The following is a 20,758-nucleotide window of genomic DNA, read 5'->3' on the forward strand; positions in this document are numbered from 1 at the left end:
AGGGCACAGGTGGTTGCCTCAGATCCTCAGCCTGAGGATTGGCCACTTGGAGAAGTCCTTGGAATGAGCTGTCAGTCTCCTGAACTCCCGGCCCCTCCTCACAGTGCCCCTTCCGTTTCCATCCATTCATCCCTGCAGCATTAACTGAGTGCCTGCTATGCCTGACACTGTGCTAAGGGCTGGGGACACAAGGATAAAGGATGTCCTCTCCTGGGGACTCAGAGTCTGTGGGGGGCGGGGACAGTGACTGAGTAATTGGTCAATTACAGTATACAGTAGAGTACTCGAGGCGTGAGCCAACATGCTGCAGCAACTCAGACCAGGGGAAATAGAGAAGACCTCTTGGATGAGGTCTTATGAGCTAAAACATCCAAGACTGAGAAGTTGGTGAGCCACAGGAAGGATAGGGCTCAAGAAAGTTGGTTAGAACATTCCAGACAAAGAGAACAGCATGTGCGAAGTCCCAAAACTTTGGTTGAGCTCAGCGTCATCAGGAGCTGCTGTACTTTAGGGAATTTGTATCATTTTAGCATTAGTCTAAATCTACCCCAATTAGGAAAGGAAGGCTTCCTGGTCCAAGGCCAGATGACATGACCATTTCTCCTTCTGTTTGGGGGGAGTTCATGCCATGAACAATGAGTTTTGGTTTATGTGGTTTTTCTGAGGAGCACCGCAGCTTTTTTCGCTTTTCCACCTTCCTTCAATTATGCCTGATTCATAAATCCTGCTCTGCAACAACGTTCTTGCAGCTAATAGAAATTCACTCAACTCCCCAGCCGGCTTTGCACCTGTATTTCTACAGCTCCAAGACCCTCCAGGCACATGAAGGCTGTGTAGTCCCCTTGATCCTGCCAGGCTGTCTTCCCATCTTCCAGGGTTCATAAGACAATGTGGGTGACCTGGGGATAGAGTTTATAGAATGCCTGTAATCCCAGCACTTTGGGAGGCCAATGTGGGCTGAGGTGGGAGGATCACTTAAGCCCAGGAGTTCTAGACCAGCCTGAGCAACATGGCAAAACCCTGTCTATTAAAAATACAAAAATTAGCCGGGCGTGGTCACACACACCTGTACTCCCAGTTACTCAGGAGGCTGAGGCTGGAGGATCACTTGAACCTGAGATGTCAAGGCGCAGTGAGCCATAATCGCACCACTGCACTCCAGCCTGAGCAACAGAACAAGACCCTATCTCAAAAAAAAAAAAAAAAAAAAAAAAGGTTTCCAAAGATAAGATAAGCCTGGGTGAGCTGTCCCCCTGAGGTCAGGAGAGTAGTGAGGAGGCTGGAGCCCCAAGGTGGGCCTGGGGAGTTGGCATACTCCAGACATCCAAGTGCCCATGTCCCCTCAGCCTAGGCCCTCCCCACCATTTTCTACTGAGAGCAAAGTGGTCATAGCCCTTTCCTGAATGGCAGCTGTTGGGTTGGAAAGCTGGGTTCCATGCAGCCGTGGCTTTGCTTTGGAGGGTGATGAGGAAATGTTTGTGGAGCCATGAGTAGTGAAGCACTGATCTGTGCTTACACGTGTTATCTGGATTGTTATTCCTTTTTTTTTTTTTTTTTTGTTGAGAGAGAGAGAGAGGGTCTGGCTCTGTTGTCCAGGTTGGTGTGTAGTGGCACAATCTTGGCTCACGGCAACCTCCACCTTCTGGGTTCAAGCCATCCTCCCACCTCAGCCTCCTGAGTAGCTGGGAGTACAGAAGTATTTCATCACACCCAGCTAATTTTTGTACTTTTTATAGAGATTGGGTTTTGCCATGTTGCCCAGGCTGGTCTCAAACTCCTGAGCTCAACCAATTCACCCACCTTGGTTGGCCTCCCAAAGTGCTGGGATTACAAGCATGAGCTACTACGTGTGGCATTATCTCCATTTTTGTAGATGAAGAAACTGAGGCCCAGAGAAGCTAAATGATGCGTCCAAAGTCTTAGTTCTAGTTAGCGATAGAGCCAGGATTTGAACCCAGCCTTCCTGGTAGCAAAGCGTGGGGACACTGTTCTAGAATACCCTTCCTAAATGGGAATGTGCTGAGAGTAAGAACAGTTCTCACATCTTGAGCACTGTGTGTAAGGCTCGAAGCCAGTGGTTCTGAACCTCAGCTGCACATTAGAATCACCTGGGAGCTTTGACAATTCCCAATGCCCAGGCTATACATCAGACCAATTAAATCAGAATCTAGCAGTGGGGCCCAGGCATCAGCATTTTGCGGTCTCCCCCACCTTCTCCCGGTATCCCAAAGTACAGCCAAGTTGGAGAACCTGTGCTCTCAGTTACAGAATTTCTTACACATTAGCAGCTCTCAGAATACCTGGAGAAGGGTGGGGTGCTTGTTAAAACACAGAGAACATTTTAAAATGCAGATTCCTAGACCCCACCCCAGAGTTTCTGATTCTGCAGGTGTGAAAATTCACATTTTAACCTTTAGTTTCAGGGGCACACGCGCAAGTTCGTTAAATTGTGTGTCATGGGGGTTTGGTGTTCTGATTATTTTGTCACCCAGTTAATAAGCATAGCACCCTCCTCCCACCCTTTACCCTCAAGCAGGCCCTGGTGGCTATTGTTCCCTTCTTTGTGTCCATGTGTACTCAATGTTTGGCCCCCACTTATAAGTGAGAACATGGATGCAGTACATGGATGAAGCTGGATTACAGGCATGAGATGCATAAGTTCAGGTCTCCAGCTCCATCCATGTTGCCACCAAGGACATGATCTCATTCTTTATGGCTGCATAGTATTCCATGGCACATATGCACCATGTCAAAATTCACTTTTTTTTTTTTTTTTTTGAGAAGAGTTTTGCCCTTGTTGCCCAGGCTGGAGTGCAATGGCGCAATCTCGGCTTACTGCAACCTCCGCCTCCCGGGTTCAAGTGATTCTCCTGCCTCAGCCTCCTGAGTAGCTAGGATAACAGGTGCCGCTTGGCTAATTCTTTTTGTATTTTTAGTAGAGACGGGGTTTTTCCATGTCGGCCAGGCTGGTCTCGAACTCCTGACCTCAGGTGATCCGCCCGCCTTGGCCTCCCAAAGTGCTGGGATTACAGGCGTGAGCCACTGCGTCTGGCCCAGAATTCACATTTCTAACAAGAACCCAGGTGCTTCTGCTGCTGCTCTGGGACCTGTCTCTGAGAACCACTGCTGCCCCTCACCTTATTTCATCCTTCCAGCTGCCCTGCGAGGTAGCCATAATCCCCACCTTACAGACAAGGGCATGCATTCAGAGAGGCGGAGTAAGTGGTCCAGGTTCCCGCTGCTGCTCCTAGCAGAGCTGAGGTTCAAACCCAGGCCTGGCTGACTCCCAGACCTGTTCTCTTAAATCCTCCCTTCTGTGGGCACCTGGGCCCCCCGCTAAACTCACCCAGCCCTGAGGAAAGAATCTTTCGGCCCATTTGTCTGGAGCATGAGCTGGAAGCTGGAAAATGCGTGTTCCCCCAGTGCTCATGAAGGGGGAGCTTACACTGTGAAGCCTGGGACTAACTGGGGAGGTTCCTGTAATAAGAACTTGGCTCGTAGTAGGCGCTCAATAAATGTTTGCCAAGCGGCCTCACTGAACGAGACCTCCATGGGAAACGGCAGTCCCCGGAGGAATCCCGAGGCCTGTAATTGCTTTTGACGGGGGAAGGTTTCCTGGCCACATTAGACTCGCGTTACTGTAATGGGAAGGGAAAATTTAACAGGACCCGGGGACTTTTCCGTGTGCCCGCCCTTTCCCCGTAAAAGAAGAAAAGCCTCATGTGTGGCTTGAAATAGGCCAAGGAGGGCTGAATGCGACCCAGCAGGAGGCTCCCAGGGGCCGGCTTACTTCAGTCCATGCTGACAGAAGAATTTTAGTAAATGAGCCTGCTTCGGGTCTCCTCCCCCAAGTCTGTTTAACATCACGCGCCGGCAAGGGCCGGACGCAGCTGAGGCTGCACCTGGAAGTGGGGGCCTCCGCGAAGCTGTGGGTGCCATTTGAATCCCTGCTTCATGCAGGTTGGCAGCTGCCAAGAAAAACAACTCCACAAACAGGCCCATTAGCCTAATAAGCGTTTGTTTCACCCCCTTGCAGAAAGGCTTGTGCCGGCAGAGTTTGAAGGAGGCCTAGGCCAGCCCAATTTAAATTCCATTAGCCCCGGGATCTCAGTCCACTAAGGAGCAGCGTTTCAAGTCAGCAGCCCCACCTGGAATATAGGAGACCACGTGCTAGAGAAATGCTTTATAAATGTTCAGGGCGGTCATTCTTAAGGCTCTTATTGTTATTTGTTTAGCCTTTGTAAATGAAAACTGCTAGGAGAATAAATTGATTTTAATAAGGCCCAATCCCAACATTTGCTGACTTGATATTTTAAATGCTTATGACCCATCAGGGTGGGAGAGGGGAGGGTAAACAATGCTGTGTTATTGCACAAATTCTCAGACGCCACCACCATCTCTGCGACAAGCAGATGGTCACAAGAGCCCAAAGCCGGTATGTGGGAGACTCAAACACAGACAGGCGAGGATTCGTGTTTATGGGTAGGGTGTACACACTGCAGTCTGTTTGCTTGCTGTGTGCCAAGCCCTGGGATACAGCGGTGGGCAAGACCTTGTTGTGCCCTCTGACTCTAGTGAGAAACAACACTGCAGTGGAGGATGATGCACGATTGCCTGATGTGACCTGTGGTGGGGTGGAGATCTGAGGAGGCGCCCCACTGCAGATGACCGCTGACTAGATCCAGAAGGAGCGGGCGGAGCTCAGTGGACAGAAGAAGGGGAGGGCATCCTAGCAGAGGGAACAGTGTGGGCAAAAGCACAGGACTAGAAGAGAGGGTGGGAGGTTCTGATGCAGGCAAGCGGTTGAGTGGTCCGAGCATAAAAGGCAACTTTTGGCCAGGCATGGTGGCTCACACTTGTAATCCCAGTGCTTTGGAAGGCCCAAGGGAGGAAGATCACTTGAGCTCAAGAGTTCAAGACCAGCCTGGGCAACATAGCGAAATCCCGTCTCTACAAAAAATACAAAAATTAGCCAGGTGTGGTGGTACACACCTGTAGTCCCAGCTACTCAGGAGGCTGAAGTGGAAGGATTGCTTGAGCCTGGGAGGCAGAGGTTGCAGTAAGCTATGATCACACCACTGCACTCCAGCCTGGGTGACAGAGTGAGGCCCTGTCTCAAACTAAAAATAAATAAATTAAAACATTAGCCAGGCACGGTGGTGCGTGCCTGTAGTCCTAGCTACTTGGGAGGCTGAGGTGGGGGGATTGCTTGAGACCAGAAGTTTGAGGTTACAGTGAGCTGTGACCACACCTCTGTACTCCAGCCTGAGTGACAGAATGAGACCCTGTCTAAAATAATAATGATAAATAAGAATTTCAATAAAGCTATAAACAGTATTTTTAAAATAACTTAAACACACATGCGAAAAGCAGTCTGAGACCAGTCGCAAAGACTTTCAGATGGCCTGGGTGAGAACAAGGCGGCATGTAGCAGAAACAAGGGAAAAGATTTTTCAGCCTCAGAGAAAATTCAAGAGCTGACATTTGCAGAGGACTTGCTATGTGCCAGGCCCCTGCTAGGCCTGTTCTATGCAGTTACTCATTTAGTCTTCATCACAATTCCATGAGGCAGGTAACATTATCCCCACTTCACAGATACGAAACTGAGACACACAGAGCCTAACTTAATTCAGGTCCCCCAGCTTTTAAGTGGCAGAGCCAGATCAGAAACTGAGGCAGCCCAATTCCAGGCTTATTGTACTTAGTGTCCTATATTGGTCACAGACTGAAGGGACTGAAGGGACCATTGAGGACAACCCAGTCCAGGCTCATTTTACAAGTACCCAAAAAAGGGAGGTAACCAGTCCGTAGATTTTGCCCACACAGCTGCCTTAGAGCCAGGGAGGTAAAGTGAGTTTGTCAAACATACAGGTAGAAGACAATAGGGGCCGGGCACAGTGGCTCATGCCTGTAATCCTGGCACTTTGGGAGGCCGAGGTGGACAGATTGCCTGAGCTCAGTAGTTCAAGACCAGCCTAGGCAACACAGAGAAACCCCGTCTCTACTAAAATACAAAAAACTAGCCGGGCGTGGCAGCGTGCACCTGTAGTCCCAGCTACTTGGGAGGCTGAGGCAGGAGAATTGCTTGAACCCGGGAGGTGGAGGTTGCAGTGAGCCAAGATCGCGCCACTGCACTCCAGCCTGCGTGACAGAGCAAGACCCCATCTCCACACACACACACACACACACACACACACACACAAAGACAATAGGAAGTAGAGGAGACTGGGACAAACCACCTAAAAAATTAACACCCAGTTGTCCTAGGAGATAAGATAGCAAAGTCAGATACATCCACGGGCCCCATTCCATTCAAGGGACACCAGTTTGCAAAGCTCTGGAAGTTTTGCCTGCTGTTTGGACATCGTGAGTCACATGAATAAAGAACATCCCGACTAGGGCCATTGACATCGTTAGTGATACACAGAAACCCTGGACCCCTCATGGCTTCACCATGGAGCTAGGCACATTGTAATAAGGAGCAGGTGGCCCTGTGGCATCCCAGAGTCACCCTCTGGGACTTCAACAGGAGGCTTTGAGTCAAACTGGGCCATGTTCGCAGGGGAACAACCCTCTGGTGCAGGTTCTTAAAGCCATGCCACGTGTACAGCAGTTCCGCGCAGCATGACTGGGGCGGGAGGTGGGAGAAGACCCCGTGATTATCATGAGTAGATGGAAAAGCCGTCATGAGGAGCAGCAGCTTAGGGTTGTTTAGTTTGGTCTTGGGGGTGGGCATGGAACTGGGGGTGGGAAAACATATGGAGACAAGTTTCAACAGGTATCAAACTATCTGACTGATGAAACTGTTCAAAATGGGCAGTCTTCTCCCCTTAAGGTAGTGAGCTCTTGGTCACTGGTGACATGGAAATGGGCAACCATTTGGAATGGATGTCCTAGAGGTCTCAGGAACTAAGCCTGAGTTGGGGCATCCACCGAATGGCTTTGAGATGATGCGTCTTTGCTGTTGACACTGTTCTCTGTGTTTTCTTCCAGCTGGTTATGCAGTATCTCTACTATGGTGGCCCAGAGTCACTGCTCATTAAAAACAATGAGATCATGGAGGTAAGGGATCCATTGTGGTGTTGGCTATCATAGGTCCCTTGGGTGAGTGGCACTTCTGTAAACTCGGGTCACCAGCCTGCATGGAAGTGTCTGGAAGGACCCGTGTTGGGTTTTCATTTGGATGAAGACTTGGGGCTCTTGTTCCTTCCTGACTCCTCAGTCCTCCCAAACAGGAAGGGCTTCTCATCAGAGACCTTCCCTGGCAGGCTGGGGTGCTAGTGCACTTGCTTGCCTGACTGCTTTTAGTAGCCACTGAGTGAAACCCAATTTTAACTGGCATTGGTGGTAAGGGGGCAGGGAAGGGAAGGAATTTGACTGAAAAGTCTGAGGCTACAGCTGAGGCGTTAATAGTGATATCATCAGGAAATATCCTAGATGACGTCTTCTCCCTTGTCACTAATAAAAGAATTATATCCCCTAAAAACATCCCTCAAATCACAACACTGTCTGTTCTTCCAAGATATAGAAGCTGAGGGCAGATTACAGTCTCCTCCTGGCTTTCCTCAAACTGAGCATCCCACAGTCATGAAGCCCACGCCTGCTTCCTTCACTCTCCCCAGCCCCCTGTCTGCCTCTTGTAATTCAACTGGTTCTAGCCCCGCCTGTCTAGGAGTCTTGTTTCTGCCTGCTTTTGTCCAAAGCCAAGATTTTCCCCTGTTCCTTGCCAAAAGTGGAAATCTTGTTCATTTTCCTAATTGAAACTGGGAGCTTTGAACCAGAAGCCAAAAATCACCCCCAATTAATCCTCAGCAAAAGAGCCAGGATCTCGGTCAGTTATCTGACGTCTGGGGGGTACCTGGCTGATGAGAGATGTCAGGACACAATCAACTGTTCAAGAGCAGACCTCACACAGTGGTTACAACACGGAAGCTGGGCCAGACTAGTCTAAATCCAGGCTCCACTGCTTCTGAGCTGTGTGACTGTGGACAAGTTATTTAACCTCATATCCTCAGCTTCCTTACCCATAAAATGGGGATAACTATCTACCTCACTGGGTTTTTTAGAGGATCTTAAAATATGCTAAGGTGCTTAGAACAGTGCCTGGCACACAGTGATCGCCAATAGGACTATGTATTCACTGCAGGCCCACTTATCCTTTCTTCCTATTCTGTGAAACCTTCCGTGGTCACTCTCTCCCCACCCAAACACACACATGGACACACAGTGACTCTCTTGTCTCCCTGGACTACTCCTCTGATGGTTTTAGTCTCGAGGATGTGGGCTTATTTGTAAACAAAAGTGCGCTGGTGTTTACAACTAATTTTTGTGTGTGTGTGAAACAGTCTCACTCTGCCCCCAGGCTGGAGTGCAGTGGTGCAATTTCGGCTCACTGCAACCTCTGCCTCCTGGGTTCACACCATTCTCCTGCCTCGGCCTCCCGAGTAGCTAGGATTACAGGCACCTGCCACCACACCCAGCTAATTTGTTGTATTTTTAGTAGAGACGGGGTTTCACCATGTTGGCCAGATGGTCTCGAACTCCTGACCTCAGCCTCCCAAAGTGTTGGGATTACAGGCATGAGCCACTGCACACGGCTGTTTACAACTAACTGATCACAACCAGTTATGGATTTCTGTATTCCTTCTCCACTCCCACTGCTTCATTTGTCTAGCCTTAACAAAAATAAAAATAAAAATAATTTTAACTAAAAATAAGGAATGTACATTTAAATCATTTCAATCATATAGAAGAGTTTTGAATACAAAGCAGCTGCCCGGGCCCACCCTGCCCTCCCTCCAGTCCCCGTTCCCAAAACCAGTCCTTTGAACTCTTGCTCTTAGCTCTTTCCCCTCCCAAAAGCCTGTCGTTCTCTCAACACACATCTGTCGAGCATCTCCGAGGCCGGCACCGTGCTCAGGGCCAGGTTACAGCAGCGATGAAAACCGACACAGATCCCTGCCCTCCTGGACTCTATTGAGGGAGGCAGACATGACGTCACATCTGGTGTGCTGTGACTCTGAGGAGTGAGACAGGGCAAGGAGGAAAGGAGGACAGATGGGATAGAGGGAGGCTCCTCTGAGGAAGTGACATTTGAGTGGAGACCTGGACAACAGAGTGAGACACCTTGATATCCATCTTGCTGATAATACCCTGATTTTCACCCTTATTTCTGGACATAACAATTTTGGGCATTTTGGGTTGACCGCCTGCTGTGATGGGTATGAATTGAGTTTGCTTGGTCCTCCCCTCCCCCTCCCGCTCCCCCGTCTTCCCCCACAGTGGAATCCTATCTTTGTCCTTTTCCTCTAGTGTTACCTTTGTGCATCATTTCCCGTCCCCTACCTGTGACACTGCTGTGGAAGGTGAAGATGAGGACTGTCTCACCACTATAGTTCCTTATTGTTACCTCCTTTCCATCCACCTCCCAGCCTCTAACAGACTCTTTTTGTGATTTTTAGCTTCTGTCTGCTGCTAAGTTTTTCCAGCTGGAGGCTTTGCAGCGACACTGTGAGATTATCTGTGCGAAAAGCATCAATACCGACAACTGTGTGGATATTTACAACCATGCCAAGGTAATCAATCTCATTCTCGCGCAGTGCGCACACAGGAGCGCTGAAGCCGGGGAGGCTTTTCCTTGGCAAACACAGAGGCAGGGCAGAGAGTGGGTGCTGGGCCAGTTCTCTCAGGGCTAAGCCGCTGGCCTCTGCCAAGGTCTTGCTTCCTGCCTTAGAAAAGATGCCTTCCACCTCCCCTCCAGAACAAGGAAAGTAGGAGCCCAGAAGTTTCAAAGGCAGAGTTCTCAAACAGTGCTTCTTAGACTCTCATGTGCATATGACTCACATCACAGACTCCAATTCCACAGGCTGGGATGGGCCCTGTTTGGCTTTTCTAACAAGCTCCCAGGTGATGTCTCTGCTGCTGGTCTAAGGTACACCTTCTAAGGTTCTAGAACAGTGGCTGTCCAATCCAGCAACATCAGGGAACTTGTCGGAAAGGTACATTTTCAGGCTGTACCCCAGACCTACTGAATCAGAAACTTGAGGGGGGACCCAGCCACCTGTGGCTTTGCATGCCCTCCAGCTGATTCTGATGTGTGCTCAGGGGTGAGAACCGCCCTTCCAGAATTGTTCTCAATGCCAGCTGCAAGTTAGAATCACCTGGGGACTCACTTAAACTTCCTGTGCCTGGGACCCATCACAGACTCATCAAATCAGCCTCTGGGAGTAGAACCTGGAAAAAGGCATCTTTCAAAGCTTCCCAGGTGATTCTCAGATGGGGCCAAGATTGAGAACAGGCTGTAAGCACTGCTGAAGTCTTTGGAGTCTGCTTAATCAGGCAGACCCAACACCTGGCTACTAATTAGAATCACCTGGGGGAGCTTGCTGAATGCCAGTGTAGTCCCCCACCCCCGATGACCTCAGCAGTAGCCCCTCAGGGAGCCCAGAAATCTATATTTTTAACAAGCTGCTAGAGTGACATCAGCTCTCAAACCAGTCTTCACTCCAGTTTTCAGTAACCACTGATTTCATCCAATTCACTTCATCAGTGGGGAGACTGGGCCCAAGAGAAGTAAAATACTTTGTCCAGGTACCACTGCATTTTGTTCCACGTGCTGAGCACAGGGGGGATTAACAGTTCCAGCAGGAAACAATAAAACCAGTTAAGATGAGGAGTTAGGTTGTTTTATTTATTTATTTATTTTTATTTATTTTTGAGATGGAGTTTCACTCTTGTTGCCCAGGCTGAAGTGAAATGGTGCAATCTAGGCTCACTGCAACCTCCTCCTGGGTTCAAGCAATTCTCCTGCCTCAGCCTCCCAAGTAGTTGGGATTACAGGCATGAGCCATCGCACCCAGCCAAGATGAAGAGTTATTTTATTTTAGGAGTTTAAAACAAAATTTTCCGTTTGGTATAACTGGAGCCCAGTACACATGACTCCCATATCACACACAGCTCTGGACAGTGACAGTGCACGTGAATGACGCTCCTATTGCTTGTTGTGAAAAATCAGATTGCATTGGCCGGGCACAGTGGCTTATGCCTGTAATCCCAGCACTTTTGCAGGCCAAGGCAGGTGGATCACGAGGTCAGGAGATCGAGACCATCCTGGCAAACACGGTGAAACCCCGTCTCTACTAAAAATACAAAAAAATTAGCTGGGCATGGTGGCGGGCGCCTGTAGTCCCAGCTACTCAGGAAGCTGAGGCAGGAGAATGGCATGAACCTGGGGGCCAGAGCGTGCAGTGAGTGGAGATCGCGCCACTGCACTCCAGCCTGGGCGACAGAGCAAGACTCTGTCTCAAAAAAAAAAAAAGAAAGAAAGAAAAGAAAAATCAGATTGCATGTGAGATGCTACTTGCTTGTCTTAAGACAGCATTCAGTGAGCCCTTTTAATGTGCAGGCACCTGTGCTAAGAGCCTTGTTGCATCTTGTTTTTTAATCTTCACTACAACCCTTTTAGGTGAATGCTACACTAGTCCCATGTCATAAGGAGACCGAAGCACAGAGAGGTGAAGTAATTTGCTTAAGGTCACACAGCTAGTAATGAGATTTCTGTATTATGGTAAAATGTACATAACATAGAATTTGCCACTTTAACCATTTTTAAGTATACAGTTCAGTGGCATTAAGTACATTTGATTGTTGTGCAAGTATCACTACCGTTCATCTATAGAATTTTTTCATCTTTCCAAACTGAAACTGTACCCTTTAAACACCAAATCCTCATTCCTCCCCTCCCCCAGGCCCGGGTATTTACCATTCTACTTCCTGTCTCTATGAATTTGACTACTCAAGGGGTGTCACATAAGTGGAATCATACAGTATTTGTCTTTTTGTGACTGATTTATTTCACTTAGCATAATGTCCTCAAGTTTCATTCGTATAGTAGCACGTGTCAGAATTTCTTCTTTAAGACTGAATAATATTTCATTGCATGTACATGCCATATTTTGTTTATTCATTCACCTATCAATAGACACTTTAGTTGCTTCCACTTTTTGGTTATTGTGAATAATATTGTGTTGCTATGAACATGGGTGTACAAATATCTGTTCAAATCCCTGTTTTTTGGGGTTTTCTTTGTTTTTGTTTGTTTGTTTGTTTTTTAATCTTGCTCTGTTACCCAGGCTGGAGTGCAGTGACATGATCTCAGCTCACTGTAACCTTTGCCTCCCAGGTTCAAGCGATTCTCCTGCCTCAGCCTCCCAAGTAGCTGGGACCACAGGCATGCGCCACCATGCCTGGCTAATTTTTGTATTTTTAGTAGAGACAGATGCTTGCCATGTTGGCCAGGCTGGTCTTGAACTCCTGATCTCAGGTGATCCACCAGCCTCAGCCTCCCAAAGTGTTGGGATTACAGATGTGAGCCACCGCGCCTGGCCTCAAATTCCTGCTTTCAGTTATTTGGGGGTATATTCCCAGAAGTGTAGTACTGAGATTTTTGAACTCAGATTTGTCTCACTCCAAAGCACAGGTTCTTAACCCTGTGTTTACTGTCTGGCTTAATAAATGTTGGAAATATTTTCAATAATCCTTGATACTCAAGATTTTCTGCTTGGCTATCAGTAAATCAAAAAGTACAGTCAGTCTACATTGTATACACACACACACACACACACACACACACACACACACACACACACAGTGTTCTAGTTAAATGAGGATTATACCAAAATCTGGTTTCTCAGGACACAAGCATTTTTTTTTTAATCTTAAACTGATTACTTTGCAGAAGAGAGGGCTCTCTCTCTCTCTGTACCAAGGCAGAGAGCCTGATTAGCCTTGTGCTCTTCTGCCCTCCTCCTTGACCATGGTCACTCAAATTGCCCCATGAACTTGACATCCACAGTGGCTTTTCTGTGGCCTACCACCTTGGCAGTGAGGCCTGTGTTTCACAATCCCATTTTAATCTCTTCAAGTTCGTTGTCAGGCAGCTTCTGTAGCATATCTCGTGATTTACTAATGTCGCCTGATGGGATGTGAGCCCCGGCTGGGAATACAGGCTTAGAACACCTATGGCAGAGAAACTGCCTCTTTCAAATATATATATATATATATACACCTACAAACACCCCTTTGCAGACAGGGCTTTGGCTTTTACAGACAACAGCTCTGCCTCCGCCTTCCCAGCCACTACCTGGAGTGTTTCCAAGAGAAATATCTGCCCTTTATGATAGTCACTTGGAGGGCAGGGCAAAGCCAGCTGCCCCTGTCCTTTCTGTGCACTGCTTCCCCTGTGCTGTGGATGCTGCAGCCCGCTAATGGTCACACACCATGTGGATTTGATTACTGGCAGATTGTGCTGCAAATAGAGGCTAATTTAGTAAAAAGAGTGGTAAAGAAAGAAAACAACACTTGCGTTTGTAACTCCAGGAAATACAGGCGTTTAGATGCTAAGAGCCACGTTCCAAATGTCAACCAGGACCTCCGCAACGTTACCTCTGTATTACATCTAACCGTTTGAGACAGCTGTGGGATTTTATACAGAGGAGAAACCCATTCCACAAATGCATGGCTTAGCCAGCTCTTTTTTCCTAGTAAACCTGTCCCAAACTATTCAGTCATGAAAAGAGGCCCTGGAGCTTCCTGTGGCCCTTTCAGGGTGTCTCTTGAGAAAAAGAACAAGCTGGTTCATCAGATTGAATCTCAGCTGTTGTGGTTAAGTTCAACAGTGCATCATGATGGAAAGAACACAGGTTTGGAAACCAAAGGATTTATTCGCTAGTGTTATTGAGTAGCCAGCATTTCCTAGGAGCTGTATTCATCAGAATATAATAAGAAATTAGAGGAGCTGGGCACAGTGGCTCATGCCTGTAATCCCAGCATTTTGGGAGGCTGAGGTGGGAGGATCACTTGAAGCCAGGGGTTTGAGACCAGCCTGAGCAACATAGTGAAACCCCATCTCTATTAAAAAAAATACAAAAAAAAAAAAAAAATAGCCGGACATGGTGGCGCACACCTCTAGTCCCAGCTACTCAGAAGGCCGAGGCAGGAGAATCACCTGAGCCCAGGAGGTCAAGGCTGCAGTAAGCAGAGATCATGCCACCGTACTCCAGCCTGAGCCACAGAGTGAGGCTCTGTCAAAAAAAAAAAAAATTAGACATGGTCTCTGGCCTTGAAAAAATTATAATCTAGGACAAGGTTCAGCAGACATGTTCTGTAAAGGGCCAGCTAAATATTTTCAACTTTCCAGACCACACAGTTGGCTTTGTACCTACTTAATTTTGCAAAAGGAGCCAGAGAATATGTAAATGAATGGTATGGCTGTGTTCCAATAAAACTTTATTTATAAAAACAGGTGGTGGCCCACATTTGGCCTTCAGGCCTATAGTTTGCCAACCACTAGTCTAGGGAATGAGAGCTCCAATCCCAGTTCTGTTAGTAATTAGTTGTGTGGAGATAGGCCAGAGGCTAATATACAGTCACCATTCAATAAATACTATCAAATATTATCAATGTAGCTATATATTATGCTTTTATTTTCCACTAACTTGTGCCGAATGACACTAATATACAAAGCAAGTGCCAGGTGTGCTGGTGGGGGGTGCTGTGTCCTCAGAATCAGATAGGCAACTCGGAGCCTCAGTTTCCCCACCTGTACCAGGAAGCTTTGTACTCTGTGATTCTAAGAGCAGGATTCATGTTGAAAGAATGAAAAGATTTCTAAGCCAGGTGCAGTGGCTCACACCTGTAATCCCAGCACTTTGGGACGCCCGCCTTGGTGGCTGAGGCAGAAGAATCACTTGAACCCGGGAGGTGGAGGTTGCAGTGAGCCGAGATCATGCCGCTGCGCTCCAGCCTGGGCAACAGAGCGAAACCCTGTCTCAAAAAAAACAAAAAAAAGAATGAAAGGATTGCTAAGATCTCTTCCAGCTCCAGGATTTGTGCATCTATATGGACATTTGTGGGATAACTAGCCCACTCACTGATAAACTTCATCAAGCTTTATAAGCCTCTTGGAGGCCACAGAATTACCACATGCATCCCTGTCCTAAATGGCACAGCAGAGCACGATACCCCTGTAGTCCACCCCCTTGCTTTTGTAACTTGGAAAACTGAGGCCCAGAGAAGTGATTTGATTGGCACAAGGCCAAGGAGTGGAGGAATGGACTCTAACCCTTTGATAGCATGAGCCGCAAAGTCATACCCCATGGGTGTGTGCTGGGGAATCAGAGACATTCTGCAGCCAGTCTTCCTTAGCAGGTGTGTGCCATCATTAGCTCTGAAGGCATAATCTGAAAGGTGCTTTTCGGAAGCGTAACCATCTCCCATTTCCTCTCCACTCTCCACAGTTTCTTGGAGTCACAGAGCTCTCAGCATATTGCGAAGGCTACTTTCTCAAAAACATGATGGTCCTCATTGAAAACGAAGCATTCAAGCAGCTCCTGTATGACAAAAATGGTGAAGGGACCGGCCAGGATGTGCTCCAGGACTTACAGAGGACGTTGGCCATCAGAATTCAGTCCATCCACTTGTCGTCTTCCAAAGGTTCCGTGGTATGAAACGCCTAGTGCAGGGAATGCTTCCCGGGAACTTTCCAGTTCTCCTGCCGCATTGGCTTTACACAAACACAGACAAATTCCACCTGGCACCTGTTTTTGGCTGGGCCAAGGAGCTGCCTCTACTGCTCCCACGTGTTCCTGTTGAAAAACAAAGGACTTTCCACTGGTCTGCAGATCAGATCAGCTGGGTCCAGAGTTTAATGGGCAACTGGACAACCAAGTTAACCCCAATTGAAAGCACCCCTAGGACCATTGAACACCCACTGCCGGGGACCACTGTCCAGTGAATGGATTGAGGCCTTTTAAAGGTCACTCAGGTTCCAGGTTGACAGTTGGAGGACTTCACCGTACCAACCCTGAAGAGATTGTATTACACATTAAGGACCTTGGTAGCTGTGCTTCAGCAAACGTCAACCATGGTAGCAAATTGGTGAGGCTGTGACCAATAATGAGGAAATAATCTGGCAAATTTTTAGGGGTGGGAACTTTTTTAAATGTTCATTTAAAAAAAAACAAAAACAGGGCAGTCTTGTAGTTTAAAATATATTTCTAAAAGCTTAACAGTTCGTTTTCAACTAAATTGTGTTTAGGGATCTGTGTTTGAGATTTTTCTTTATTTCTTTTTTTTTTTTAAATAGTAAGTCACAGGTCCACACTGTGTAAACATGCATCTGATAAGATACTGCTGATATTCTAAACAAGTTGAAATAATCTTGCCTTAGTGATCATGATTACACAAAAGAGGTGCACTGCCAATAAGTATCTCTAATTCAATAGTTGAAAGCAACCTGCATGCTAATCGTGGTTTCGGGGTGAGAATAAAACACCCCCACATAACATGCATTTGCATGGGCCCGAACCTGTGAAATGTTACGTTTGTGCTTCATTTTTGCCAAGGTAAAAATGTTCCATCATTTCTAGCTAAAACTCCATTTGGTGAAACCAACATATCCATTTCTTTTCCTAGTTACGGATGATTTGGGGATGCTTTTGCAGAAATGTGTTCATAGATGATGCTGAATGGGGGAGGGGGGCAGCACGTCAGAGAATTTACTATTAATCCCAGAGTTTTCTCTGTATTCTCAGAAGATGTTAATAGTTTGTTACTAGCCAGAGAGTATGACTATGTTAGATTATTTTTAAAGATGAAACATGTATGATAGGATGGATTCTTTCTGTATTCTGAGAGTGTACAGTACAGGATTATTATAATGAAAGTTTATATCAACAGGGTTTCGTTGGCTCTGCCATATATTATAAGCAAAAGAGATTGGTAAAGTGCCACAGTATTCCAGATAACTTTTCAGTTGCGGCCTTTCTTCTCGTTCTTTAATTTGAAACCTAGATACATGCAGTAAAAACTAGGAGAATGACTTTTACCCTTGGGGACAGCCAAGTTTTGTTGATAAACCTATTTCCTAGCATGCCTTCAGGAAGTTGTGCCAGACCCTAGATTGTGAAGGACCCACTGTTCTTCTGTTGTACGAGCTCCCTGAACCATTGTTCAGAGGACCAATGTCACATCGCTTCATGGGCATGGCCCATGGAGCATCTGGGTGATATCTGTCTACAGTATTGGCTCTTCTGCGAGGCTGATACACAAGGCCTCTCTTCCACATGATCATTTGCAAACCTCCCCCAGCCCCTACCATCCAATGTGGAAGGAAAACAAGAACTGCCTGAAGAAGAGTCCAAGCTACAGATACACAGCGTGTGCATTGCGGCTGTCACCTTCCTCCTCCCACTTCTGTATCCTCAGAGATGCTGCGTGGATGTTTCCTTAACCTCAGCTGACTTCCCTGTGAATGTCTAATGCTAGTTCAGGGCCTCCAGGCATTGATTTGTACAGTGGTAACTCCCAATGAGGCTTCTGTTATCATTTGGTGTGCTTTCTCTGTCATTAAAAGAAATGATTTTCCCAGGCCGTGCATCGTGTGTGTGGTTTGAGTGGGCTCTTTATCCCAATAGTTCAAGCCTCAGAACTTCACTCAGTGAAGAGATTGGACAATGTGGCCCTGCAGAAAAAGCCAAGGGAAATGAAGATGCTAGATAAAAGACAAATGTTCCTGTTGCTGGCGATGTGGCAGCCAAGCCCTAGTCCCCATGGTGCATACACTTCTGAGTGACACCCTTGGATCTTTTTCTCATCAGGCAGAGAAGCTACAGGTGCCGCCATCTGGCCACCAAGGTAGCACTGCCTAAGGCAGAGAACTCGCCTGCAGAGGGTGGAGTTCTGGCTGTTACTCATGTGCCTTGATGACACTTTTTGAGGATGGGGGAATGAGAAGGACAAGTTATCTCCACATGGTGTGTCCCCACCAAGGGCCAGCATGAGCTGGTGCTAGAGGATGGTGGCAGCATTATGGGATGGGGGTGGGGGTCATGGAGGGGCAGGCAGCTCTCTTCTTGGGTGTCATCATTGCTGAGGTCAAACCAAGTCCCCAGCAGCTGTGCTGTGGCTCCTGACCCAGCCTGGGCCCAACCCAGGCATGTGTGCAGATAAATCCCCCTGGCCAATCCACAAAAACCTACAAGCAGGTCAGGGGAGAGGCCCAGCCAGCCCTGGGAGACCTGGGCCATTGAGGCCCGGTAGAGAGCTCACATTGCCCCACCTCCCGGAAATGACTGCTCAAGCCCGCTTAGCAATCCAGGTCTGTTCCTTCTTTAGGAAGCAACCAAGTGCCAGGGGCCAGAACTGTGAGTCAGGCCAGGAAAGCAGAAGGTCGTTTTACTTTTGACTGTGTGTCACCCTCGGTGTAGCCTCACGGTGAGTAGGCATTTTTGATGTATTGCTTTTAGAATGATAAAGTGCATGCTACCCCATTTGCCTTTTACTTGTCTGACAGGTGGCTTTGACATTCACGCCTCAGCAAAGTCCGTACAAGGGCCCATTAGCATCTTAGGGTGTAGAGGAAAGCGCGGGGGGCGGTGGGGGGCTGCCTGCCACAAGTTCTCTCCACCCCTTCTATTTGCCATGGGACACCGGAAGGATTGTGTACGTGCAGCCGCCCCCAAGAAACACAAGGACATGACTTAGCTTCTGTGCCCACCCCCATGGCCATTGGTCTTACATATACCATACCTGGATATCATTCATTCTCCTCAAAAGAAGGAGAATCCACTCAAAATGAACATCAGGATGTGAGCTCCCATCATGGAGATGCCCAGGCAGAAACCAGAAGACGATGCAGTCAGGCATGGGGGCGGGGTTGGAGGAGGAGCTCTGGGACCTCCTCTGCACTGAGATTCTGTGATTCTGCTTTTGTTCTGTGTTCCCCGTTCTGCGATTCTGCTTTTGGATCTCACATTGTTTCTTCCTGTAAAGCCCTTGGCAAAAAGTGCTATCCGACTGTATGTTGTCATACCAAGACTTTCATCACACAGTGTTTTGCCAACATCAGACTGTGCGGATAAAGGGTTCTTTGAGAAAATCTATTTCACGAGTCTTGGGTCCTCTGCCTTCAGAATTCAGCACCCACCTCCCTCCACCCCCACCTTCAGTCACAGACGAATGAATAGTCGCAGAAGTGCTCACATCCTCCCGCTTCTAGTTCTTTCTGCCTAGCCCCTACACAGTCTCCAAGGCCAGCAGTTTCCTGGGTTTCTCCACTCAGGGAGACATCTATTGCGCACCTTCTGTTGGCAGCACTGATTGCTGAGCCCTGGACTCCAGCACAGACGTGAAAACCCTGTTCCAACTGGATCCAACCCCTGACTAGCTTTGAGACTTTGGACAAGTTACTTACTCTATCTAGTATTCACCTTCCTCTTTCAAAAAAAAAAAAATGGGTTTAACTATAACTAGTGGCCGGCCGCTGTGGCTCACGCCTGTAATCTCAACACTTTGGGAGGCCAAGGTGGGCAGATCACTTGAGATCAGCAGTTCAAGACCAGCCTGGCCAACATGGCAAAACCCCATCTCTACTAAAAAATACAAAAATTAACGGGGCGTGGTGGCAGGCACCTGCAATCCCAGCTACTCAGGAGGCTGAGGCAGGAGAATCGGTTGAACCTGGGAGGCAGAGGTTGCAGTGAACCAAGATTGTGCCACTGCACTCCAGCCTGGGCAACAGAGCAAGACTCCGTCTCAAAAAGGAAAAAAAACAAAAAACAAAAACCTATAACTAGTGAATAGTGGTGTTGGGAGGATTAAAGGAGATATTTTGTACGAGTCCCACACTGTTAGTAGCAGGGAAAAGGCTTTTCTAAACTTCTAAGACTGAGCAGAAGGAAGGGGAAATTGATGATTCATACAAGGAAAGGAAGGCTAATGACTTTGCCTTCATTTCTAGAACTTTCTACAGCAGCGGTTCCCATGGTGATTTGTGATTCTCTAGGGTTTTGCTACTTATTCCGAGGAGTATAGGGAAATTCCCCCCAAACTGAGCTCTTTTGTGATTCTAGTTCCTAGCACAGTGCTTCACACAAAGTAATCAAGAAATGTTTGCAAATGGAAGCCAAGTACACCTGGATTTCCTTTCTTATAAACATCATATTTTCAAAAGATTAGAGTTGCAGGGATTCACTCTTCCAAATTTCTTGTCTACACAGGAATGTGAGATTCACATGTGTGACTTGGATGACACGAGACTCCCATGGTGTGTGTCTAAGGTCCAAGACCCCACAAATGGCTGAGCAGGGCCCACGCCCGCCAGAGCCAACTCTCAGTCCAGGGCTTGAGGACCACAGCTCTGTGGAGAGGGAGAGGGTAGCCACAAACCCCCAAATGAAACAAACTGCTAGATATCCCTCCAGAAAAATCTGGGACTGCTGTCCTCATCAAGTTAGTAGGCAAACCCATATGCCCTGTGCTGCCACTTGAGTGTGTGGACACTCATCCCCCACCCCTCCACCAAGAAACCTCCCTGGTGGAACTTCACGTCACCTCTGTTCCTCCCAGCCTAGCCAATGCCTTGAATAAAGCAGCACGTGCCTTTGGCCGGGGCCATTGCAGAAGCTGCTATGATGCCTATTTTTTCCACCCTCTTTAAAAATAACCCAACAGATTTTGAACTTCCTGCTTGGCAGAAAAAAATAGAACTCATACTCAGCAATCACATTGCGCTTTAGTTCCCATCACTGATGAGGCAGGCAGATAACGAGTGCCCTGTGAAAGGACACATCTCCAAGTTTAGCCCTGAATCTGAAAAGACAATCTGTCTGCGTGAATAGGCAATTAGAAGACATGCCCTGATGTCATTGGTGCGTTCTTTGGATGTTGCTTTTCAGAGCTAACCTTCAGATGAGTTCTG

General features: G+C 47.6%; 1 protein-coding gene across 8 annotated transcripts in view, besides 1 other annotated feature; it reads left to right on the forward strand.

Annotated features, from left to right (window-relative positions):
- Positions 1-17,430, forward strand: part of ABTB3 (ankyrin repeat and BTB domain containing 3) — a 341,209-nt gene extending 323,779 nt beyond the window's left edge. For all 8 annotated transcript variants that reach the window (NM_001018072.2, NM_001347943.2, XM_047428301.1 and 5 more), the window contains 3 exons: positions 6,994-7,062; positions 9,462-9,575; positions 15,297-17,430. In NM_001018072.2, the coding sequence (NP_001018082.1) occupies positions 6,994-7,062; positions 9,462-9,575; positions 15,297-15,506 (393 nt within the window). In that variant the 3' untranslated portion in view covers positions 15,507-17,430. The remainder of the gene's footprint in view (positions 1-6,993; positions 7,063-9,461; positions 9,576-15,296) is intronic.
- Positions 18,018-18,518: an enhancer, noted in NCBI's record as "H3K4me1 hESC enhancer chr12:108054007-108054507 (GRCh37/hg19 assembly coordinates)". NCBI's record gives its function as "activates a minimal SCP1, AML or CMV promoter by ChIP-STARR-seq in naive H9 embryonic stem cells {active_cell/tissue: H9 hESC(naive)}" and the evidence as "EXISTENCE:reporter gene assay evidence [ECO:0000049][PMID:30033119]".

Source organism: Homo sapiens, chromosome 12, assembly GCF_000001405.40.
Source record: "Homo sapiens chromosome 12, GRCh38.p14 Primary Assembly".
Classification (NCBI taxonomy): Eukaryota; Metazoa; Chordata; class Mammalia; order Primates; family Hominidae; genus Homo; species Homo sapiens.